This window comes from Homo sapiens, chromosome 15 (genome assembly GCF_000001405.40).
Source record: "Homo sapiens chromosome 15, GRCh38.p14 Primary Assembly".
NCBI classification, from domain to species: domain Eukaryota; kingdom Metazoa; phylum Chordata; class Mammalia; order Primates; family Hominidae; genus Homo; species Homo sapiens.
Genome location: NC_000015.10, coordinates 55429364 through 55448160, shown reverse-complemented (window position 1 = coordinate 55448160; position 18797 = coordinate 55429364). Strand labels below are relative to the sequence as shown.

At 45.0% G+C, this 18797-nt stretch overlaps 1 protein-coding gene, 1 long non-coding RNA gene and 1 pseudogene across 4 annotated transcripts in view; all 3 read left to right on the top strand.

Moving 5' to 3' along the window:
- Positions 1-18797, top strand: part of DNAAF4-CCPG1 (DNAAF4-CCPG1 readthrough (NMD candidate)) — a 143362-nt gene that overhangs the window by 50424 nt on the left and 74141 nt on the right. Inside the window, exons 6-8 of the long non-coding RNA NR_037923.1 lie at positions 8580-8689; positions 13103-13256; positions 15559-15664. This is a non-coding gene — a long non-coding RNA (DNAAF4-CCPG1 readthrough (NMD candidate)). The remainder of the gene's footprint in view (positions 1-8579; positions 8690-13102; positions 13257-15558; positions 15665-18797) is intronic.
- DNAAF4 (dynein axonemal assembly factor 4) overlaps positions 1-18797 on the top strand; it is a 90480-nt gene that overhangs the window by 60074 nt on the left and 11609 nt on the right. Inside the window, exons 7-10 of one of the 3 annotated variants that reach the window (NM_130810.4) lie at positions 8580-8689; positions 13103-13256; positions 15559-15664; positions 17382-17853. In NM_130810.4, coding sequence (NP_570722.2) covers positions 8580-8689; positions 13103-13256; positions 15559-15664; positions 17382-17491 — 480 coding nt within the window. In that variant the 3' untranslated portion in view covers positions 17492-17853. Of the gene's footprint in view, positions 1-8579; positions 8690-13102; positions 13257-15558; positions 15665-17381; positions 17854-18797 lie in introns of those variants that run through there. The other 2 variants (NM_001033559.3, NM_001033560.2) reach the window with 2 other exon arrangements.
- Positions 4743-5826, top strand: LOC100420711 (thioesterase superfamily member 4 pseudogene; annotated as a pseudogene).

Here is an 18797-nt window from a genome sequence, read left to right as displayed (position 1 = left end):
ACCAGATGCAGAAAAGGCCTTTGACAAAATTCAACAGCACTTCATGCTAAAAACTCTCAGTAAGCTAGATATTGATGGGAAGTATCTCAAAATAATAAGAGCTATTTATGACAAACCCACAGCCAATATCATACTGAATGGGCAAAAACTGGAAGCATTCTCTTTGAAAACTGGCACAAGACAGGGATGCCCTCTCTCACCACTCCTATTCAACACAGCATAGTGTTGGAAGTTCTGGCCAGGGCAGTCAGGCAGGAGAAAGAAATAAAGGGGCTCCCCTCTCCCCTCTCCCCTCTCCCCTCTCCCCTCTGCCCTCTCCCCTCTCCCCTCTGCCCTCTCCCCTCTCCCCTCTGCCCTCTCCCCTCTCCCCTCTCCCCTCTCTCTTTCCACGGTCTCCCTCTGTTGCTGAGGCTGGACTGTACTGCCGTGATCTCGGCTCGCTGCCACCTCCCTGCCTCAGGCTCCTGTCATTCTCCTGCCTCGGCCTGCCGACTGCTTGGGATTGCAGGCACGCACCGCCATGCCTGACTGGTTTTTGTATTTTTGGTGGAGATGGGGTTTTGCTCTGTTGGCCCGGCTGGTCTCCAGCTCCTGACCTCCAGCTCCTGATCTGCCCGCCTCGGCCTCCCGAGGTGCTGGGATTGCAGATGGAGTCTTGCTCACTCAATGCTCAATGTTGCCCAGACTGGAGTGCAGTGGCATGATCTCGGCTCGCTACAACCTCCACCTCCCAGCCGCCTGCCTTGGCCTCCCAAAGTGCTAAGATTACAGCCTCTGCCTGGCCGCCACCCCATCTAGGAAGTGAGGAACATTTCTGCCTGGCCGCCCATCGTCTGGGATGTGAGGAGTGCCTCTGCCCAGCCGCCCAGTCTGGGATGTGAGGAGCACCTCTGCCCGACCGCCACCCCATCTGGGAAGTGGGGAGCGCCTCTGCCCGGCTGCCCCGTCTGGGAAGTGAGGAGCGCCTCTGCCCGGCCGCCCATCATCTGGGATGTGAGGAGCGCCTCTGCCTGGCCACCCCGTCTGGGAAGTGAGGAGTGCCTCTGCGCAGCCGCCCCATCTGGGAAGTGAGGAGCACCTCTGCCCGTCAGCTGCCCCATCTGGGAAGTGAGGAGCGCCTCTGCCCGGCTGCCCCGTCTGGGAAGTGGAGAGCGCCTCTGCCCAGCTGCCCCGTCTGGGAAGTGGGGAGCGCCTCTGCCCGGCCGCCCATCATCTGGGATGTGAGGAGCGCCTCTGCCTGGCCGCCACCCCGTCTGGGAAGTGGGGAGCACCTCTGCCCAGCCGGCCCGTCTGGGATGTGAGGAGCACCTCTGCCCGGCCACCCCATCAGGGATGTGAGGAGCGCCTCTGCCCGGCCGCCCCATCTGGGATGTGAGGAGCGCCTCTGCCTGGCCACCACCCTGTCTGGGATGTGAGGAGTGTCTCTGCCCGGCTGCCCCGTCTAGGAAGTGAGGAGCGCCTCTGCCCGGCCACCCCGTCTGGGATGTGAGGAGCGCCTCTGCCCGGCCGCCACCCCATCTGGGAAGCAGGGTGCGCCTCTGCTCGGCCGCCCTGTCTGGAAGGTGAGGAGCGCCTCTGCCTGGCTGCCCTTCATCTGGGATGTGAGGAGCGCCTCTGCCCGGCCACCCGGTCTGGGAAGTGAGGAGCACCTCTGCCTGGCCACCCCGTCTAGGATGTGAGGAGCACCTCTGCCCGACCGCCACCCCATCTGGGAAGTGGGGAGCGCCTCTGCCCGGCCGCCCCGTCTGGGAAGTGAGGAGCGCCTCTGCCCGGCCGCCCATCATCTGGGATGTGAGGAGTGCCTCTGCCTGGCCACCCCGTCTGGGAAGTGAGGAGTGCCTCTGCCCAGCTGCCCCCCCCCCCCGTCTGGGATGTGAGGAGCGCCTCTGCCCGGCCGCCCCGTCTAGGAGGTGAGGAGCGCCTCTGCCCAGCTGCCACCCCTTCTGGGAAGTGGGGAGCGCCTCTGCCCGGCCACCCCGTCTGGGAGGTGAGGAGCGCCTCTGCCCGGCTGCCGCATCTGGGAAGTGAGGAGCGCCTCTGCCTGGCTGCCCTGTCTGGGATGTGAGGAGCGCCTCTGCCCGGCCGCCACCCCATCTGGGAAGCGGGGAGTGCCTCTGCCCGGCCACCCCGTCTGGGAGGTGAGGAGCGCCTCTGCCCGGCCACCCCGTCTGGGATGTGAGGAGCGCCTCTGCCCGGCCGCCCCGTCTGGGAGGTGAGGAGCGCCTCTGCTCGGCCGCCCCGTCTGGGAGGTGAGGAGCACCTCTGCCTGGCTGCCGCATCTGGGAAGTGAGGAGCGCCTCTGCCCGGCTGCCCCGTCTGGGATGTGAGGAGCGCCTCTGCCCGGCCGCCACCCCATCTGGGAAGCGGGGAGCGCCTCTGCCCGGCCACCCCGTCTGGGAAGTGGGGAGCGCCTCTTCCCGGCCGCCCCGTCTGGGAGGTGAGGAGTGCCTCTGCCTGGTGCCCTTCGTTTGGGAGGTGAGGAGCGCCTCTGCCTGGCCACCCCGTCTGGGAGGTGAGGAGTGCCTCTGCCTGGCCGCCCCATCTGGGAGGCGAGGAGCGCCTCTGCCTGGCCGCCCCATCTGGGAGGTGTACCCAACAGCTCCGAAGAGACAGCGACCATCGAGAACGGGCCATGATGACGATGGCGGTTTTGTGGAAAAGAAAATGGGGAAATTTGGGGAAAAGAAAGAGAGATCAGATTGTTACTGTGTCTGTGTAGAAAGAAGTAGACATAGGAGACTCCATTTTGTTCTGTACTAAGAAAAATTCTTCTGCATGGGATGCTGTTAATCTATAACCTTACCCCCAACCCCGTGCACTCTGAAACATGTGCTGTGTCAACTCAGGGTTAAATGGATTAAGGGCGGTGCAAGATGTGCTTTGTTAAACAGACGCTTGAAGGCAGCATGCTCGTTAAGAGTCATCACCACTCCCTAATCTCAAGTACCCAGGGACACAAACACTGTGGAAGGCTGCAGGGACCTCTGCCTAGGAAAACCAGAGACCTTTGTTCATGTGTTTATCTGCTGTCCTTCTCTCCACTATTATCCTATGACCCTGCCACATCCCCCTCTCTGAGAAACACCCAAGAATGATCAATAAATACTAAAAAAAAAAAAAAAAAAAAAGGGTATTCAATTAGGAAAAGAGGAAGTCAAATTGTCCCTGTTTGCAGATGACATGATTGTATATTTAGAAAACCCCATCGTCTCAGCCCAAAATCTCCTTAAGCTGATAAGCAACTTCAGCAAAGTCTCAGGATACAAAATCAATGTGCAGAAATCACAAGCATTCTTATACACCAATAACAGACAAACAGAGAGCCGAATCATGAGTGAACTCCCATTCACAATTGCTTCAAAGAGAAAAAAATACGTAGGAATCCAACTTACAAGGTATGTGAAGGACCTCTTCAAGGAGAACTACAAACCACTGCTCAACAAAATAAAAGAGGACACAAACAAATGGAAGAACATTCCAAGCTCATGGATAGAAAGAATCAATATCGTAAAAATGGCCGTGCTGCCCAAGGTAATTTATAGATTCAATGCCATCCCCATCAAGCTACCAGTGACTTTCCCCAAAGAATTGGAAAACAAACTACTTTAAAGTTCATATGGAACCAAAAAAGAACCCACATTGCCAAGACAATCCTAAGCCAAAAGAACAAAGCTGGAGGCATCATGCCACCTGACTTCAAACTACACTACAAGGCTACAGTAACCAAAACAGCATGGTACTGATACTGAAACAGAGATATAGACCAATGGAACAGAACAGAGCCCTCAGAAATAATACCACACATCTACAACCATCTGATCTTTGACAAACCTGACAAAAACAAGAAATGGGGAAAGGATTCCCTATTTAATAAATGGTACTGGGAAAACTGGCTAGCCATATGTAGAAAGCTGAAACTGGATCCCTTCCTTACACCTTATACAAAAATTAATTCAAGATGGATGAAAGACTTAAATGTTAGACCTAAAACCATAAAAACCCTAGAAGAAAACCTAGACAATACCATTCAGGACATAGGCATGGGCAAGGACTTCATGTCTAAAACACCAAAAGCAATGGCAACAAAAGCCAAAATTGACAAATGGGATCTAATTAAACTAAAGAGCCTCTGCACAGCAAAAGAAACTACCATCAGAGTGAACAGGCAACCTACAGAATGGGAGAAAATTTTTGCAATCTACTCATCTGACGAAGGGCTAATATCCAGAATCTACAAAGAACTCAAACAAACTTACAAGAAAAAAACAACCCCATCGAAACATGGGTGAAGGATATGAACAGACACTTCTCAAAAGAAGACATTTATGCAGCCAACAGATACATGAAAAAATGCTCATCATCACTGGCCATCAGAGAAATGCAAATCAAAACCACAATGAGATACCATCTCACACCAGCTAGAATGGCGATCATTAAAAAGTCAGGAAACAACAGGTGCTGGAGAGGATGTGGAGAAATAGGAATACTTTTACACTGTTGGTGGGACTGTAAACTAGTTCAACCATTGTGGAAGACAGTGTGGCGATTCCTCAAGGATCTAGACCTAGAAATACCATTTGACCCAGCCATCCCATTACTGGGTATATACCCAAAGATTATCAATCATGCTGCTATAAAGACACATGCACATGTATGTTTATTGCAGCACTATTCACAATAGCAAAGACTTGGAACCAACCCAAATGTCCATCAATGATAGACTGGATTAAGAAAATGTGGCAGTAATGTGTGCCATCCAGGGCTAGAGCAAGTGCGGCCCCACGGCCTGCACGGCCCTGAGCCATGCTGAGGAGCTGCGCCAGGCGCCTCCGCACGCTGGGGGCCCTTTGCCAGCCGCCACCGGTAGGCAGGCGCCTGCCGGGTAGTGAGCCGCAACCCGCGCTGAGGTCATTTTCTTCTGAGGAAGTCATTCTTAAGGACTATTCTGTCCCCAACCCCAGCTGGAACAAGGACCTAAGACTGCTCTTTGACCAGTTTATGAAGAAATGTGAAGACGGCTCCTGGAAACGTTTGCCTTCATATAAACGTACACCTACTGAAAGGATTCAAGACTTTAAAACCCATTTTCTTGACCCAAAGCTTATGAAAGAAGAACAAGTGTCACAGGCCCAGCTCTTCACCAGAAGCTTTGATGATGGCCTGGGCTTTGAATACGTGATGTTCTACAATGACGTTGAGAAAAGGATGGTTTGCTTATTTCAAGGAGTCCCTTACCTAGAAGGACCACCTGGATTGATTCATGGAGGTGCCATTGCAACCATGATTGATGCTACTGTTGGTATGTGTGCAATGATGGCTGGGGGAATCGTCATGACTGCCAATCTCAACATCAGTTGTAAAAGACCTATCCCTCTTTGTTCTGTTGTTAGGATAAATAGCCAACTTGATAAAGTTGAAGGAAAGAAATTTTTTGTTTCCAGTAATGTTCAGAGTGTTGATGAGAAGACCCTATATTCAGAGGCGACAAGCTTACTTATAAAGCTGAATCCTGCTAAAAGTCTGACATAAAGAGCTGCTGGTGAACTCCATCTCATTCTCTCCCCTCCAGAAGAAGCAGTTGTCCCCCGAATACTCTGCTCCCTCACTGCTGAATCCCTGTAGGGAGAAGCCTGCCAAGAGTGACCTTCCGAAACAGCCTTCTGAATACAAGGAGGATTCAGTTTCCATCTTCCCAACTTTTTAACACAGAAACACTTCCTGCGAGCATTTCGACAACTCTCAGTCAGGGCGCTGTGGCTCACGCCTATAATCCCAGCACTTTAGGAGGCCAAGGCGGGTGGATTGCCTGAGCTCAGGAGTTCAAGATCAGTCTGGACAACACGATGAAACCCCGTCTCTACTAAAATAAAAAAAATTAGCCGGGCATGGTGGCGTGTGCCTGTAGTCCCAGCTACTCAGGAGGCTGAGGCAGGAGAATTGCTTGAACCCGGGAAGCGGAGGTTGCAGTGAGCCAAGATCATGCCACATCACTCCAGCCTTGGCAACAGAACGAGAACCCATCTCAAAACAAAACAAAACAAAAAAAACTCTGTCTCCTTAGGATGTGTTACCTGCTCCACTGCGGACTGGAGAAATAAATGTGTATTGAAACTTTTCCTGCAAACTTGAAAATGCTAGAAAACCAAGCATGAAGAATAAATACATGGCAGGGAAGACACAGACATGTGCATATGCATATACATTATAAGTTAGTAAGTTAGAAAGCTAGCTTTGTTGTATCTGAACACATGAATCTTTTTGGTCAGAGTAGGAAGCACAGCCAAATTCTATAGGAATGAATACCTCAAATCTGTTGTCTGGGATTCTAGAGATTAAACCACTGTGCCATTTAAAAAAGAAAAAAGAAAATGTGGCACATAGACACCATGGAATACTATGCAGCCATAAAAAAGGATGAGTTCATGTCCTTTGTAGGGACATGGATGAAGCTGGAAACCATCATTCTCAGCAAACTATTGCAAGGACAAAAAACCAAACACCACATGTTCTCACTCATAGGTGGGAATTGAACAATGAGAACACTTGGACACAGGAAGGGGAACATCACACACCGGGGCCTGTTGTGGGGTGGTGGGAGGGGGGAGGGATAGCATTAGGAGATACACCTAATGTAAATGACGAGTTAATGGGTGCAGCACACCAACATGGCACATGTATACATATGTAACAAACCTGCATGTTTTGCACATGTACCCTAGAACTTAAAGTATAGTAAAAAAAAAGAAAAATGAAAATATTATAACCCAGAAAGATAAAATAATAATCACATGGGCTGGGCATGGTGGCTCACGCCTGTAATCCCAGCACTTTGGGAGGCCGAGGTGGGCAGATCACAAGGTCGGGAGTTCGAGACCAGCCTGGCCAATATGGTGAAACCCCGTCTCTACTAAAAATACAAAAACTGGCCGGGCATGGTGGCACACGCCTGTAATCCTAGCTGTTCAGGAGGCTGAGGCAGGAGAATTGCTTGAACCCAGAAGGCGGAGGTTGCGGTGAGCTGAGATCATGCAACTGCACTCCAGCCTGGGGGACAGAGTGCGACTGTCTCAGAAAAAAAAAAATTAATAATATCATATGAACTCCCAGAAAGCAAGAAATTTGGCTAGAAATTTTATCTATTGTATTTCCACCAGCTATTGAGGTTTAAAAAAAAGTTTAAGGACGGGCACGGTGGCTCAAGCCTGTAACCCCAGCACTTTGGGAGGCCAAGGTGGGTGAATCACAAGGTCAGGAGTTTGAGACCAGCCTGGCCCATATGGTGAAACCCCATCTCTACTAAAAATACAAAAAATTAGCTGGGCATGGTGGCGTGTGCCTGTAGTCCCAGCTATTTGGGAGGCTGAGGCAGAAGAATCGCTTGAACCCAGGAGGCAGAGGGTACAGTGAACCGAGATTGTGCTACTGTACTCCAGCCTGGGCAGCTGAGTGAGACTCTGTCTCAAAAAGAAAAAAAGTTTAATAATGTATAAATATGGCCAGGTGCAGTGGCCCAACGCCTGTAATCCCAGCACTTTGGGAGGCCGAGGTGGGCAGATCACAAGGTCAGGAGATCGAGACCAGGGTGAAACCTCGTCTCTACTAAAAATACAAAAAATTAGCTGGGTGTGGTGGTGGGTGCCTGTAGTCCCAGCTACTTGGGAGGCTGAGGCAGGAGAATGGTGTGAACCTGGGAGGCAGAGCTTGCAGTGAGCCGAGATCGCACCACTGCACTCCAGCCTGAGTGACAGAGCAAGACTCCGTCTCAAAAATATATATATATAAATATTGCAAGATTAAAATCACCATCATTGGCCAGGCGTGGTGGCTCACGCCTATAATCCCAGCACTTTGGGATTCCGAGGTGGGTGGATCACGAGGTCATGTGTTCAATACCAGCCTGGCCAAAATAGTGAAACCCTGTCTCTACTAAAAATACAAAAATTAGCCAGGCATGGTGGCACACGCCTGTAATCCCACCTACTCGGGAGGCTGAGGCAGGAGAATCACTTGAACCTGGGAGGTGGAGGTTACAGTGAGCTGAGATTGCTCCACTTGCACTCCAGCCTGGGTGACAGAGCAAGATAAAAAAAAAAAATTACCACCATCAAGTAGTACGTTAATCTGCTCTGGCTGCTATAAACAAAATACCATAGACTGGGTGGCTTAAACAATAAACAGTCATTTCTTATAGTTCTGGAGGCTGGGAAATCCAAGATCAGGGTGCCAGCATGATTCTTGGTAGGGGTGCTCATCATAACTTGCGGACACCCACTTTCTCACTGTGTCCACATGGGGGAGCTCTGATCTCTTTCTCTTCTTAAAAGGATAAACTCGTTTTGGGAGCTCTCCTCTCATGACCTAAACCTCATTACCTCTCAGAGGCCCCACTACCAAATACCGATTCACATTGATGGTTATGGCTTCAGTATATCAATTTGGAGGAGAGGTGGAGAAGACACAAACACTCAGTGCATAGCAAATAATATTTCAATCCACTGGAGGAAGATGGAAAATCTAAAAGGAAATGTTAATTAAAAAAAGACCTTTTTATTCTTCATAAGACTTCTTTCTCATTCTAGTGGCTACACAAACAAGCTGAGGCACGAAGAGCAATGAATACTGACATAGCTGAACTTTGCGATTTAAAAGAAGAAGAAAAGAACCCAGAATGGTTGAAGGATAAAGGAAAGTAAGTTGTTTGAACTCTGATCATGAGCTTTATCATGTATGAAGACATTAGCAGTTATCATAGGACGAGTATGGTGGCTCATGCCTGTAATCCCAGCCCTTTGGGAGGCCGAGGTGGGATGATAACTTGAAGCCAGAAGTTTGAGACCAACCTGGGCAACAAAGCGAGATTTTGTCTCTACAAAAAAACAAACAAAATAAAACATTAGCCTGGTGTGGTGGTGAGCACCTGTAGTCCCAGCTACTCAGAAGGCTGCGGCGGGAGGATCCCCCAAGCCCAGGAGTTCATGGCTGCAGTGAGCTATGATTGTGCCACTGCACTCCAGTCTGGGCAACAAGAGTGAGACCCTGTCTTTGAACAAACAAAGTAGTTATCACATTCTCTAGATATTTTGTCTGTTTGTGTGTTGTTGGAGAAAGATAATGCAAATAAGCAAATAAGGTAGACAGGGCATCCATATTTTAAAAGTCAGATAACAAGGCAATGAGGCTCTAATTTTATTTTTTTATTTAAATGTCATAAAAATGAAAAAAATTACATCTTTTGGAATGCTTATTAAAATTCCTTTTAAAATCCGTTTTACATTTGACATAAGTCCTTTCTGATGTCTCCCATAAAAACGGGCTTTTTGCAAAGCTACAGCTGTTTTGATTATTCTTATCCATTTTTTTTCTTTTTTTTTTTTGTGAGATAGTGTCTCATTTTATCACCCAGGCTGGAGTGTAGTGGTGCAATCTCAGCTCACTGCAACCTCTACCCGCCAGGTTCAAGCAGTTCTTCTGCCTCAGCCTCTCAAGTAGCTGGGATTACAGGCATCCACCGCCACACCTGGCGAATTTTTTTTGTATTTTTAGTAGAGACGGGGTTTCACCATGTTGGTCAAGCTGGTCTTGAACTCCTGACCTCTAGTGATTCATCCACCTCAGTCTCCCAAAGTGCTGGGATTACAGGCATGAGCCCTGGTGTGGGACCTATTCAAATCCATTTCTAAAGATTACCATCTTACTGCCTTCCAGGTCAGTGATGTAAACACAAAAAAGATTACCATATTATCCCAGAAATTATCTTATATCTGGGCAGTCATTTTATTCATTTGTATATGGATTTTTTTTTTTTTTTTGAGACAAAGTCTCGCTCTTGGTCCCCAGGCTGGCGTGTGATGGCACAATCTTGGCTCAATGCAAACTCCACCTCCCAGGTTCAAGCGATTCTCCTGCCTCAGCCTCCTCAGTAGCTGGGATTACAGGCGCCTGCCACCACGCCCAACTAATTTTTGTTTCACCATGTTGGCCAGGCTGGTCTCAAACTCCTGACCTCAGGTGATCCGCGCACCTTGACCTCCCAAAGTGCTGGGATTACGGGTGTGAGCCACTGCACCCGGCCGTGAATATTTTAACATACTGATCAAAAACAGTGAATTCTGGCATATTCTGAGTGGCAATTTGTGTTCATATTTTGAGGCGGCTATAGATATTATTTATTGTATTTCATCATATACACTTCTGTGTTTATTTTCCTATTACTTATTACTTCTATAACAAACTACCACCAAGTGGCTTAAAACAACACAAATTTATTATCTTATAGTTCTGTAATTCAGAAGTCCAAAATGAGTTTCACTGGGCCAAAATTAGGTGTCAACTGCCTTCCTTTTGAAGGCTCTAGGAGAAAAGCTGTTTTCTTAAATTTCCGGCTTCTAAGCTGTTTGCATTCCTTGAATTGTGGCTCCCCAGCCACTGATTGCGTTATTCTGACCTCTGCTTCCGTGATCTCCTTTTCTGACTCTCCTGCCTCCTTCTACCTTTTATAAGGCCTCTTGTGTTTATGTAAGTCCCACCTACATCATCCAGGGTACTCTCTCCATCAAACTCTTTAACTTATTCACATGTGCAAAGTCCTTTTTGCCGTGTTAGGTAACGTTCATAGGTTCTGGGATTAGAATATGGACATCTTTTTTTGGGGGGCGGGGGGCATTATCTGTCTACCACAATATCTATATTTTTCCTTTCTTTCTACTTTTTCTTGGTCTTTTCTCTTGTCTGTTACAACACCAGGGATTGTTTTGTGGCGTTTAGCTGGAGTTGGCAATTTTTCTGAAGGTTAGAAGCCTGGAACTGACAGGTTGGTTCTTCTAACTCCCAAGAGTAAAACCATATATAATCTTTCCTCCTCTTTCTCTTCTTCCTTTCTTCCTTCCTATTCATTTATTCAGCCATTAAATAAGCAATTATTGATTGCTTGCTATTTGCCAGACTATAGGCACTTAACAACAGAAATCAGGAGGAGAGAGACGTACACAAATATTTAAAACACTGTGTGGGAAGTACAATAACATGGATAAGAACAAGGTAATAGAGCCAGGTGCGGTGGCTCACGCCTGTAATCCCAGCACTTTGGGAGGCTGAGGCGGGCGGATCACCTGAGGTTGGGAGTTCACCAGACTGAACAGCAAGGAGAAACCCTGTCTTTACTAAAAGTACAAAATTAGCTGGGTGTGGTGGCGCATACCTGTAATCCCAGCTACTCGGGAGGCTGAGGCAGGAGAATTGCTTGAACCTGGGAGGTGGAGGTTGCGGTGAATCGAGATCGTGCCACTGCACTCCAGCCTGGGCGACAGAGTGAGACTCCATCTCAAGATAAAAAGAAAATTTCTGGCCAGGCACAGTGGCTCACGCCTGTAATCCCAGCACTTTGAGAGGCCAAGATGGGTAGATACTTGAGTTCAGGATTTTGAGACAAGCCTGGCCAATATGGTGAAACCCAATTTCTACTAAAAATGTAAAAATTGGCTGGGCACGGTGGCTCACTCCTATAATCCCAGCACTCTGGGAGGCCAAGGTGGGTGGATTACCTGAGGCCAGGAGTTTGAGACCAGCCTGGCCATCATGGTGAAACCCTGTCTCTACTAAAAATACAAAAACTAGTCAGGCATTGTGGCGCACACCTGTAATCCCAGCTAATCTGAGTCTCAGAGGCATGAGAATCACTTAAACCTGGGAGGTAGAGGTTGCAGTGAGCTGAGATGGCACCACTGAACTCCATTCTGGGCAATTTAGCAAGACTGCTCAAAAAAATAATAATAATTAAAAAAATAATAATAATGGGCAAAGAACTTAAATAGGCATTTCTCCAAGAAGAGAGACAAATGGCTAGTAAATATAAAAAGATGTTTAACATCACTAACCATTTGGGAAATGTCTTATCAAAACCACTATGAGATGCCACTTCACACCCATTAGGATGGCTACTCAGAAAAAAAACAGAAAATAACAAGTGTTAGTGAGGATGTGGAGAAATTAGAATCCTGTGCACTGTTGGTAGAGGTGTTGAATGATCCAGCTGCTATGGAAAACACTATTGTGGTTCCCAAAAAAGTAAAAATAGGGCCGGGCGCAATGGCTCACGCCTGTAATCCCAGCGCTTTGGGAGGCCGAAGCGGGCAGATCACCTGAGATCGGGAGTTCGAGACCAGTCTGACCAACATGGAGAAACCCCATCTCTAGTAAAAATACAAAATTAGCCAGGCGTGGTGGTACATGCCTGTAATCCCAGCTACTCAGGAGGCTGACGCAGGAGAATCGTTTGAACCTGGGAGGCAGAGGTTGCGGTGAGCCAAGATCGCACCATTGCACTCCAGCCTGGGCAACAAGAGTGAAACTCTGTCTCAAAAAACAAACAAACAAAAAAAAGCAAAGACTTTGCATTTTGAAGAAATCCTTTAATCGTGTACATCTCTTTATTTGAAGAGAATTTTGGAACATTTAAACTGAAAGAGTATATCCATTGCAAGTAACCAAAAAACCCAATTTTTTTATATTGAAAGGAATTTATTGTCTTATATAACTAAACAGCTAAAGGTGTTTTCTATTTCAAGTAAAGCTTGATCCAGCAGCTTAACTGTATCATGAAGGGCTCGGTTTCTTTCTGCCTTTTTATTCCTTTCATATTTCCATAGTATCAGCTTTATTCTAATGCCAGCTCTTCCCACGGTCTTAAAAACGGTCAGCAACAATGTGGGCTATGTGACTTCTTCACTTATATCCAGCAGGGGGAGAAATTTGCCCAACTTTTCATTCTTCAACTTTGAAACCAACCCACAGGCTTCATCCTAAGTAGAACAATATAGGTCACACTAGCCCATCCCTGAGTCAATTACTGGAGCAAAAATAATGCAAATATGCCCTACTGGCTTAAATTACTAATGTCTACCCTTGGAGGTGGGAGTGAGGTCCATTCCATTCAAATGACAGGCTGGTATATGTGAAAAGAGATGGATTCAGTGCAGGCAACGTTTACCCTAAAGAGAATGCAAAAAGAGGTAAGCCATCCTCTTTGTCAAATACAATTAGATATTATTTCTGTGTTTCTGTTTCAATGTTAAATTGTTTTTCTTCTCTGTTTTTGTCTCATTAGCAAATTGTTTGCAACGGAAAACTATTTGGCAGCTATCAATGCATATAATTTAGCCATAAGACTAAATAATAAGATGCCACTATTGTATTTGAACCGGGCTGCTTGCCACCTAAAACTAAAAAACTTACACAAGGCTATTGAAGATTCTTCTAAGGTATGGATATCTATGTATGATATATGGTGCTTTAAATATATCCTTCTATTAATTGGTTTAAATGATGATCTTTTTCTGTTCAGTTGAAATAATTGAGATGCAAAGATTTTAAAGATTGTCTTTCTTATTGAATCTTTTTTTTTTTAACTGATTTTTTACTAATGGACAAGGAACTGGTGTTTTTTTGTGACTTCTATGAATAGTTAGTTAGATTAAAAATCAGCTGTTACTGGCCGGGCGCAGTGGGTCTCGCTATATTGCACAGGCAGGTCTCGAACTCCTGGGCTCAAGCTATCCTCCCGCCTCTGCCTCCCTGAGAGCTGGGATTACAGACATGAGCCACCGCGCCCGGCACCCAGCCCAGATATCTCTACAATCATTTTCTCATTTGCAGGGTAACTTAGTATATTCTACTTTCCATTACTAATATTTACTGTGTATGTCTTGAACTTCTACAGCTTTTTCTTTTTTCCATGTCAAGATAACTTGTTTTAAGGGCATATCATGTGCAAAATCTCTTAGGTAGCTTCTTGAGATTGAGGATATGGAGGACACAACCAAGTCTTCATCACTTTGATATCATACTACTTTTATGATCCAGTTTTTCTTTGACTCTCACAATGCAAACAAATATTTGTTGAATGAATGAATAAGCTGAATCACCCAATCTGAATACAAAAGCCCACAAATGCTATTTAATAATTCCTACTGGTAAAAATAAAGCTGTGGAGATGTGAAATGATAAGCTGAATAATAACCTTGGAGGGGTATGAATCCCATATAGGAACAACTGAAAAATTCCTTAAGTTGTTCAACATATCTCTTCTGGAAAACCTGATAATAATTATTTGTTTTATATATATATATAATATATATTATATATAAGAATATATATAATATATATAATATTATATATATTATATATAATATATAAAATATATTATATATATTATATATATTATATATATTTTATATAATATAATATATATAATTATATATAATATATATAATATATATATAATATATGTAATATATATAATATATATTATAATATATATAATATATAATATATGTAATATATATAATATATATTATATATATAAAACAAATATATATATTTGTTTTATAAAAACAATTATATATATTTATATATAAAAAACAAATAATTATATATATATTTGTTTTATATATATAATATATTTATATTTGCTAAATTCCTGTACCAGCTAAGCTAAAAATTTAGGTGAGTGCTTGAGGCCATTTTTTTTTTTTTTTTTTTGAGACGAGGTCTTGCTCTGTTGCCCAGGCTGGAGTACAGGGGCACAATTTCGGCTCACTGCAAGCTCCGCCTCCCCGGTTCACGCCATTCTCCTGCCTCAGCGTCCGGAGTAGCTGGGACTGAAGGCGCCCGCCATCATACCCGGCTAATTTTTTGTATTTTTAGTAGAGACGGGGTTTCACCGTGTTAGCCAGGATGGTCTCGATCTCCTGACTTCGTAATCCGCCCGCCTGGGCCTCCGCCCGCCTGGGCCTCCCAAAGTGCTGGGATTACAGGCATGAGCCACCACACCCGGCCGAGGCCTTTTGTGTGTGTGTGTGTTTGTGTGAGACAAAGTCTCACTCTGTCACCAGGCTGGAGTGCAGTGGTGCGTTCTTGGCTTATTGCAACCCCTGCCTCCCGGATTCAAGTGATTCTCCTGCCTCAGCCTCCTGAGTAGCTGGGATTACAGGTGCCCGCTACCACATCTGGCTAGTTTAAGTATTTTTAGTAGAGACAGGGTTTTGCCATGTTGGCCAGGCTGGCCTCAAGCTCCTGACTTTGGGTGATCTGCCCACCTCAGCCTCCGAAAGTGCTGGAATTACAGGCGTGAGCCACCAGGCCCACCCGAGGCTTATTTTAAAATTAGAATTTTTACCATGTTTTTGCTTGTTTGTTTTTTGTTTTTGTTTTTTTTGAGACGGATTCTCGCTCTGTCACCCAGGCTGGAGTTCAGTGGCGCGATCTCGGCTCTCTGCAAGCTCTGCCTCCCTGGTTCAAGCAATTCTCCCGCCTCAGCCTCCCAAGTAGCTAGGACTACAGGTGTGCACCACCACAGCCAGATAATTTTTGTATTTTTTTTTAGTAGAGACGGGGTTTCGCCATGTTGGCCAGGCTGGTCTCAAAATCCTGACTTCAGGTGATCCACCTACCTCGGCCTCCCCAAGTGTTGGGATTACAGGCGTGAGCCACCATGCCCAGCCTTTTGCTTGTTTAAATTAAGAAACTATAACTTTCTTGTAATAATTATATATATTTTGTAAGGCACTGGAATTATTGATGCCACCTGTTACAGACAATGCTAATGCAAGAATGAAGGCACATGTACGACGTGGAACAGCATTCTGTCAACTAGAATTGTATGTAGAAGGTAAGGAATTGATAGAAATGGTTTAAGTCCCAAGTTATACTCTGAAAAAAATGTCATTGGAATTATTTAAGATCGTGACTTTTAAGGACTCCATTTTTAAATATTTTTAGCATTTAATTTATTCTTAGTAATGTCTGCAGTATATCTGACAATACATGATTTCTAAATTATATTTAAAAAATTCATTGTAGAAGAGAATTAAAATAAGTGTAAACAACAAGTTTCAGTCTAGAAAAATGCTATATTAGCTGGGTGCAGATGCTCATGCCTGTAATCCCAGCACTTTGGGAGGCAGAGGCGGGTGGATCACCTGAGGTCGGGAGTTCGAGACCAGCCTGACCAACATGGAGAAACCCTCTACTAAAAACACAAAATTAGCTTGGCGTAGTGGCACATGCCTGTAATCCCAGCTACTTGGGAGGCTAAGGCAGGAGAATCCCTTGAACCCGGGAGGCGGAGATTGTGGTGAGCCGAGATCATGTCATTGCACTCCAGCCTGGGCAACAACAGCGAAACTCCTTCTCAAAAAAAAAAAAAATGCTATATTACCAGACAACTCTTCATAGAAACGTGTGATAAATGCTGGGTGTGGTGCTTCACGCCTATAATCCCAGGAACTGGGGAGGCTGAGGTGGAAGGATGGCTTGAGGCCAGGAGTTTGAGACCAGCTTGGGCAACATAGTGAGACCCTGTCTCTTAAAAAAAAAAAATACATGATAGGCTGGGTGTGGTGGCTTATGCCTGTAATCTCAGCACTTTGGGAGGCCGAAGCAGGTGGATCACAAGGTCAGGAGATCAAGACCATCCGGGCTAACACGGTGAAACCCCGTCTCTACTAAAAATACAAAAACAAAATTAGCCAGGTGTGGTGGCGGGCGCCTGTAGTCCCAGCTACTCAGGAGACTGAGGCCAGAGAATGGCGTGAACCCGGAAGGCAGAGCTTGCAGTGAGCCAAGATCACGCCACTGCGCTACAGCCTGGGTGACAGAGCAAGACTCTGTCTCCAAAAAAAAAAAAAAAAAGATAAAATATATAAATGATTTGAGATATCATGGATATTTATCTCAGAGAGCTTCTTCGGTCATCCCTGTATGTATGTATGTATTTGTGTGTGTGTGTGTGTGTGTGTGTGTGTGTATACACACACCTAAGCTCGGAAATAACTGATCCACCATAGTGCATGCACATTGCTTATATTTGTTAGATTGTATTAAGTTCTGTAATTTAGCTCTATGTATACAGAAAATATAGCATTTATTTTATTTTATTTTAGATAGATTTAGGGGCCGGGCACGGTGGCTCACACCTGTAATCCCAGCACTTTGGGAGGCCAAGGTGGGTGGATCATGAGGTCAGGAGATCGAGGCCCTACTGGCTAACACGGTGAAACCCCATCTCTACTAAAAATACAAAAAATTAGCCAGGTGTGGTGGCAGGTGCCTGTAGTCCCAGCTACTCAGGAGGCTGAGGCAGAAGAATGGTGTGAACCCAGGAGGCAGAGCTTGCAGTGAGCCGAGATCATGCCACTGCACTCCCGCCTGGGCAACAGAAGGAGACTCTGTCTCAAAAAAAAAAGATGGGAATCTAATTTAAAACTTGGTACTTGTTCTGAACCATGCTACTAGTGATTATTTTTATTTTAAACAACTATTGTCTAGATAAAAGAAGTGCTAATAAAATATTTATTGTATTAATCATCATTGCTATATAAACACAGGCCTACAGGATTATGAAGCGGCACTTAAGATTGATCCATCCAACAAAATTGTACAAATTGATGCTGAGAAGATTCGGAATGTAATTCAAGGAACAGAACTAAAATCTTAATGACTATTAGAAGTAACTAAGTATTGTTATAAGTTTTTTAAAAACAACTGGAGGCATCTTTGTACATATTATGGCCAGTTGTACAGAATCGCTTTCTGTTTAGTACTTTAGTTCTGTTGAGGGCAAAATATTATAAATCTATAGAAAATAAACTGTTTGACTTGAATCATTTCTGAATAAGTAAATCTAAATAAGAATCTATTTTAATTCCTTATTTCTTCATATTAATACATATGTATACTTTTTTGTGTTACTGAATTAAGCTTGCCCTTGTAACAAAATATGTTTTGGTATAGTTACCAGGACACTTACTGATTAATTTTTAACAAGGTAGAATTTTAAAATAAAAGATTTATAAATAACTTTTGTTTGTATTAATATACCATTTAATTGACTGAATGGTTGACTTTGGTATAATAAATATTGACAGGTTGTCCGTTAGTTTCCAACTGCACAGAACCTTATTTTTTTGTTTAATACTTCTCTAATGCTTGTTGTTCAAGATTAGACCAGTTCAGCCTAGTATAAAACAACTGTTTAGAAAACCTTATATTCAACTTCATTTATAGGCTGTGCACCTGAAAACTGATCATATTTCATAACACTATCTGGTGAAGATAAATTTTTGAGTGAAATAGTTTTCTAGTACCTCCAAGTAGACAAGGGGGAGAAAAGACAGCAAAGTGTAAGATATTAACCTGGAATATTATGGTATTGGTATTGGACTGCACCATCATTTGTGTTGTATCACTGGGATTATGCAAGTGTTAAGCACAATAGCACAGCTTCCCTTTTGCTTGTAGTTACTGTAATTCTCTAATTAAATTTTAAAGGTTTTTTTTTTTTTTTGAGACGGAGGAAGTCTCCCTTTGTTGCCCAGGCTGGAGTGCAATGGCGCGATCTTGGCTCACTGCAAGCTCTGCCTCCTGGGTTCAGGCCATTCTCCTGCCTTAGCCTCCCGAGTAGATGGGACTACAGGCGCCTGCCACCACGCCTGACTAATTTTTTGCATTTTTAGTAGAGATGGGGTTTCACCATGTTAGCCAGGATGGTCTCAATCTCCTGATTTCGTGATCCACCCACCTTGGCCTCCCAAAGTGCTGGATTACAGGTGTGAGCCACCGCGCCCAGCCTTTTTTTTTTTTTTTCTTGAGACACAGTTTCACTCTTGTTGCCCAGACTGGAGAGCAGTGGCCTGATCATAGCTCGCTGCATCCTCCACCTCCCAGGTTTAAGGGATTCTCCTGCCTCAGGCCTCCTGAGTAGCTGAGATTACAGGCACCACCACGCCTGATTAATTTTTTGT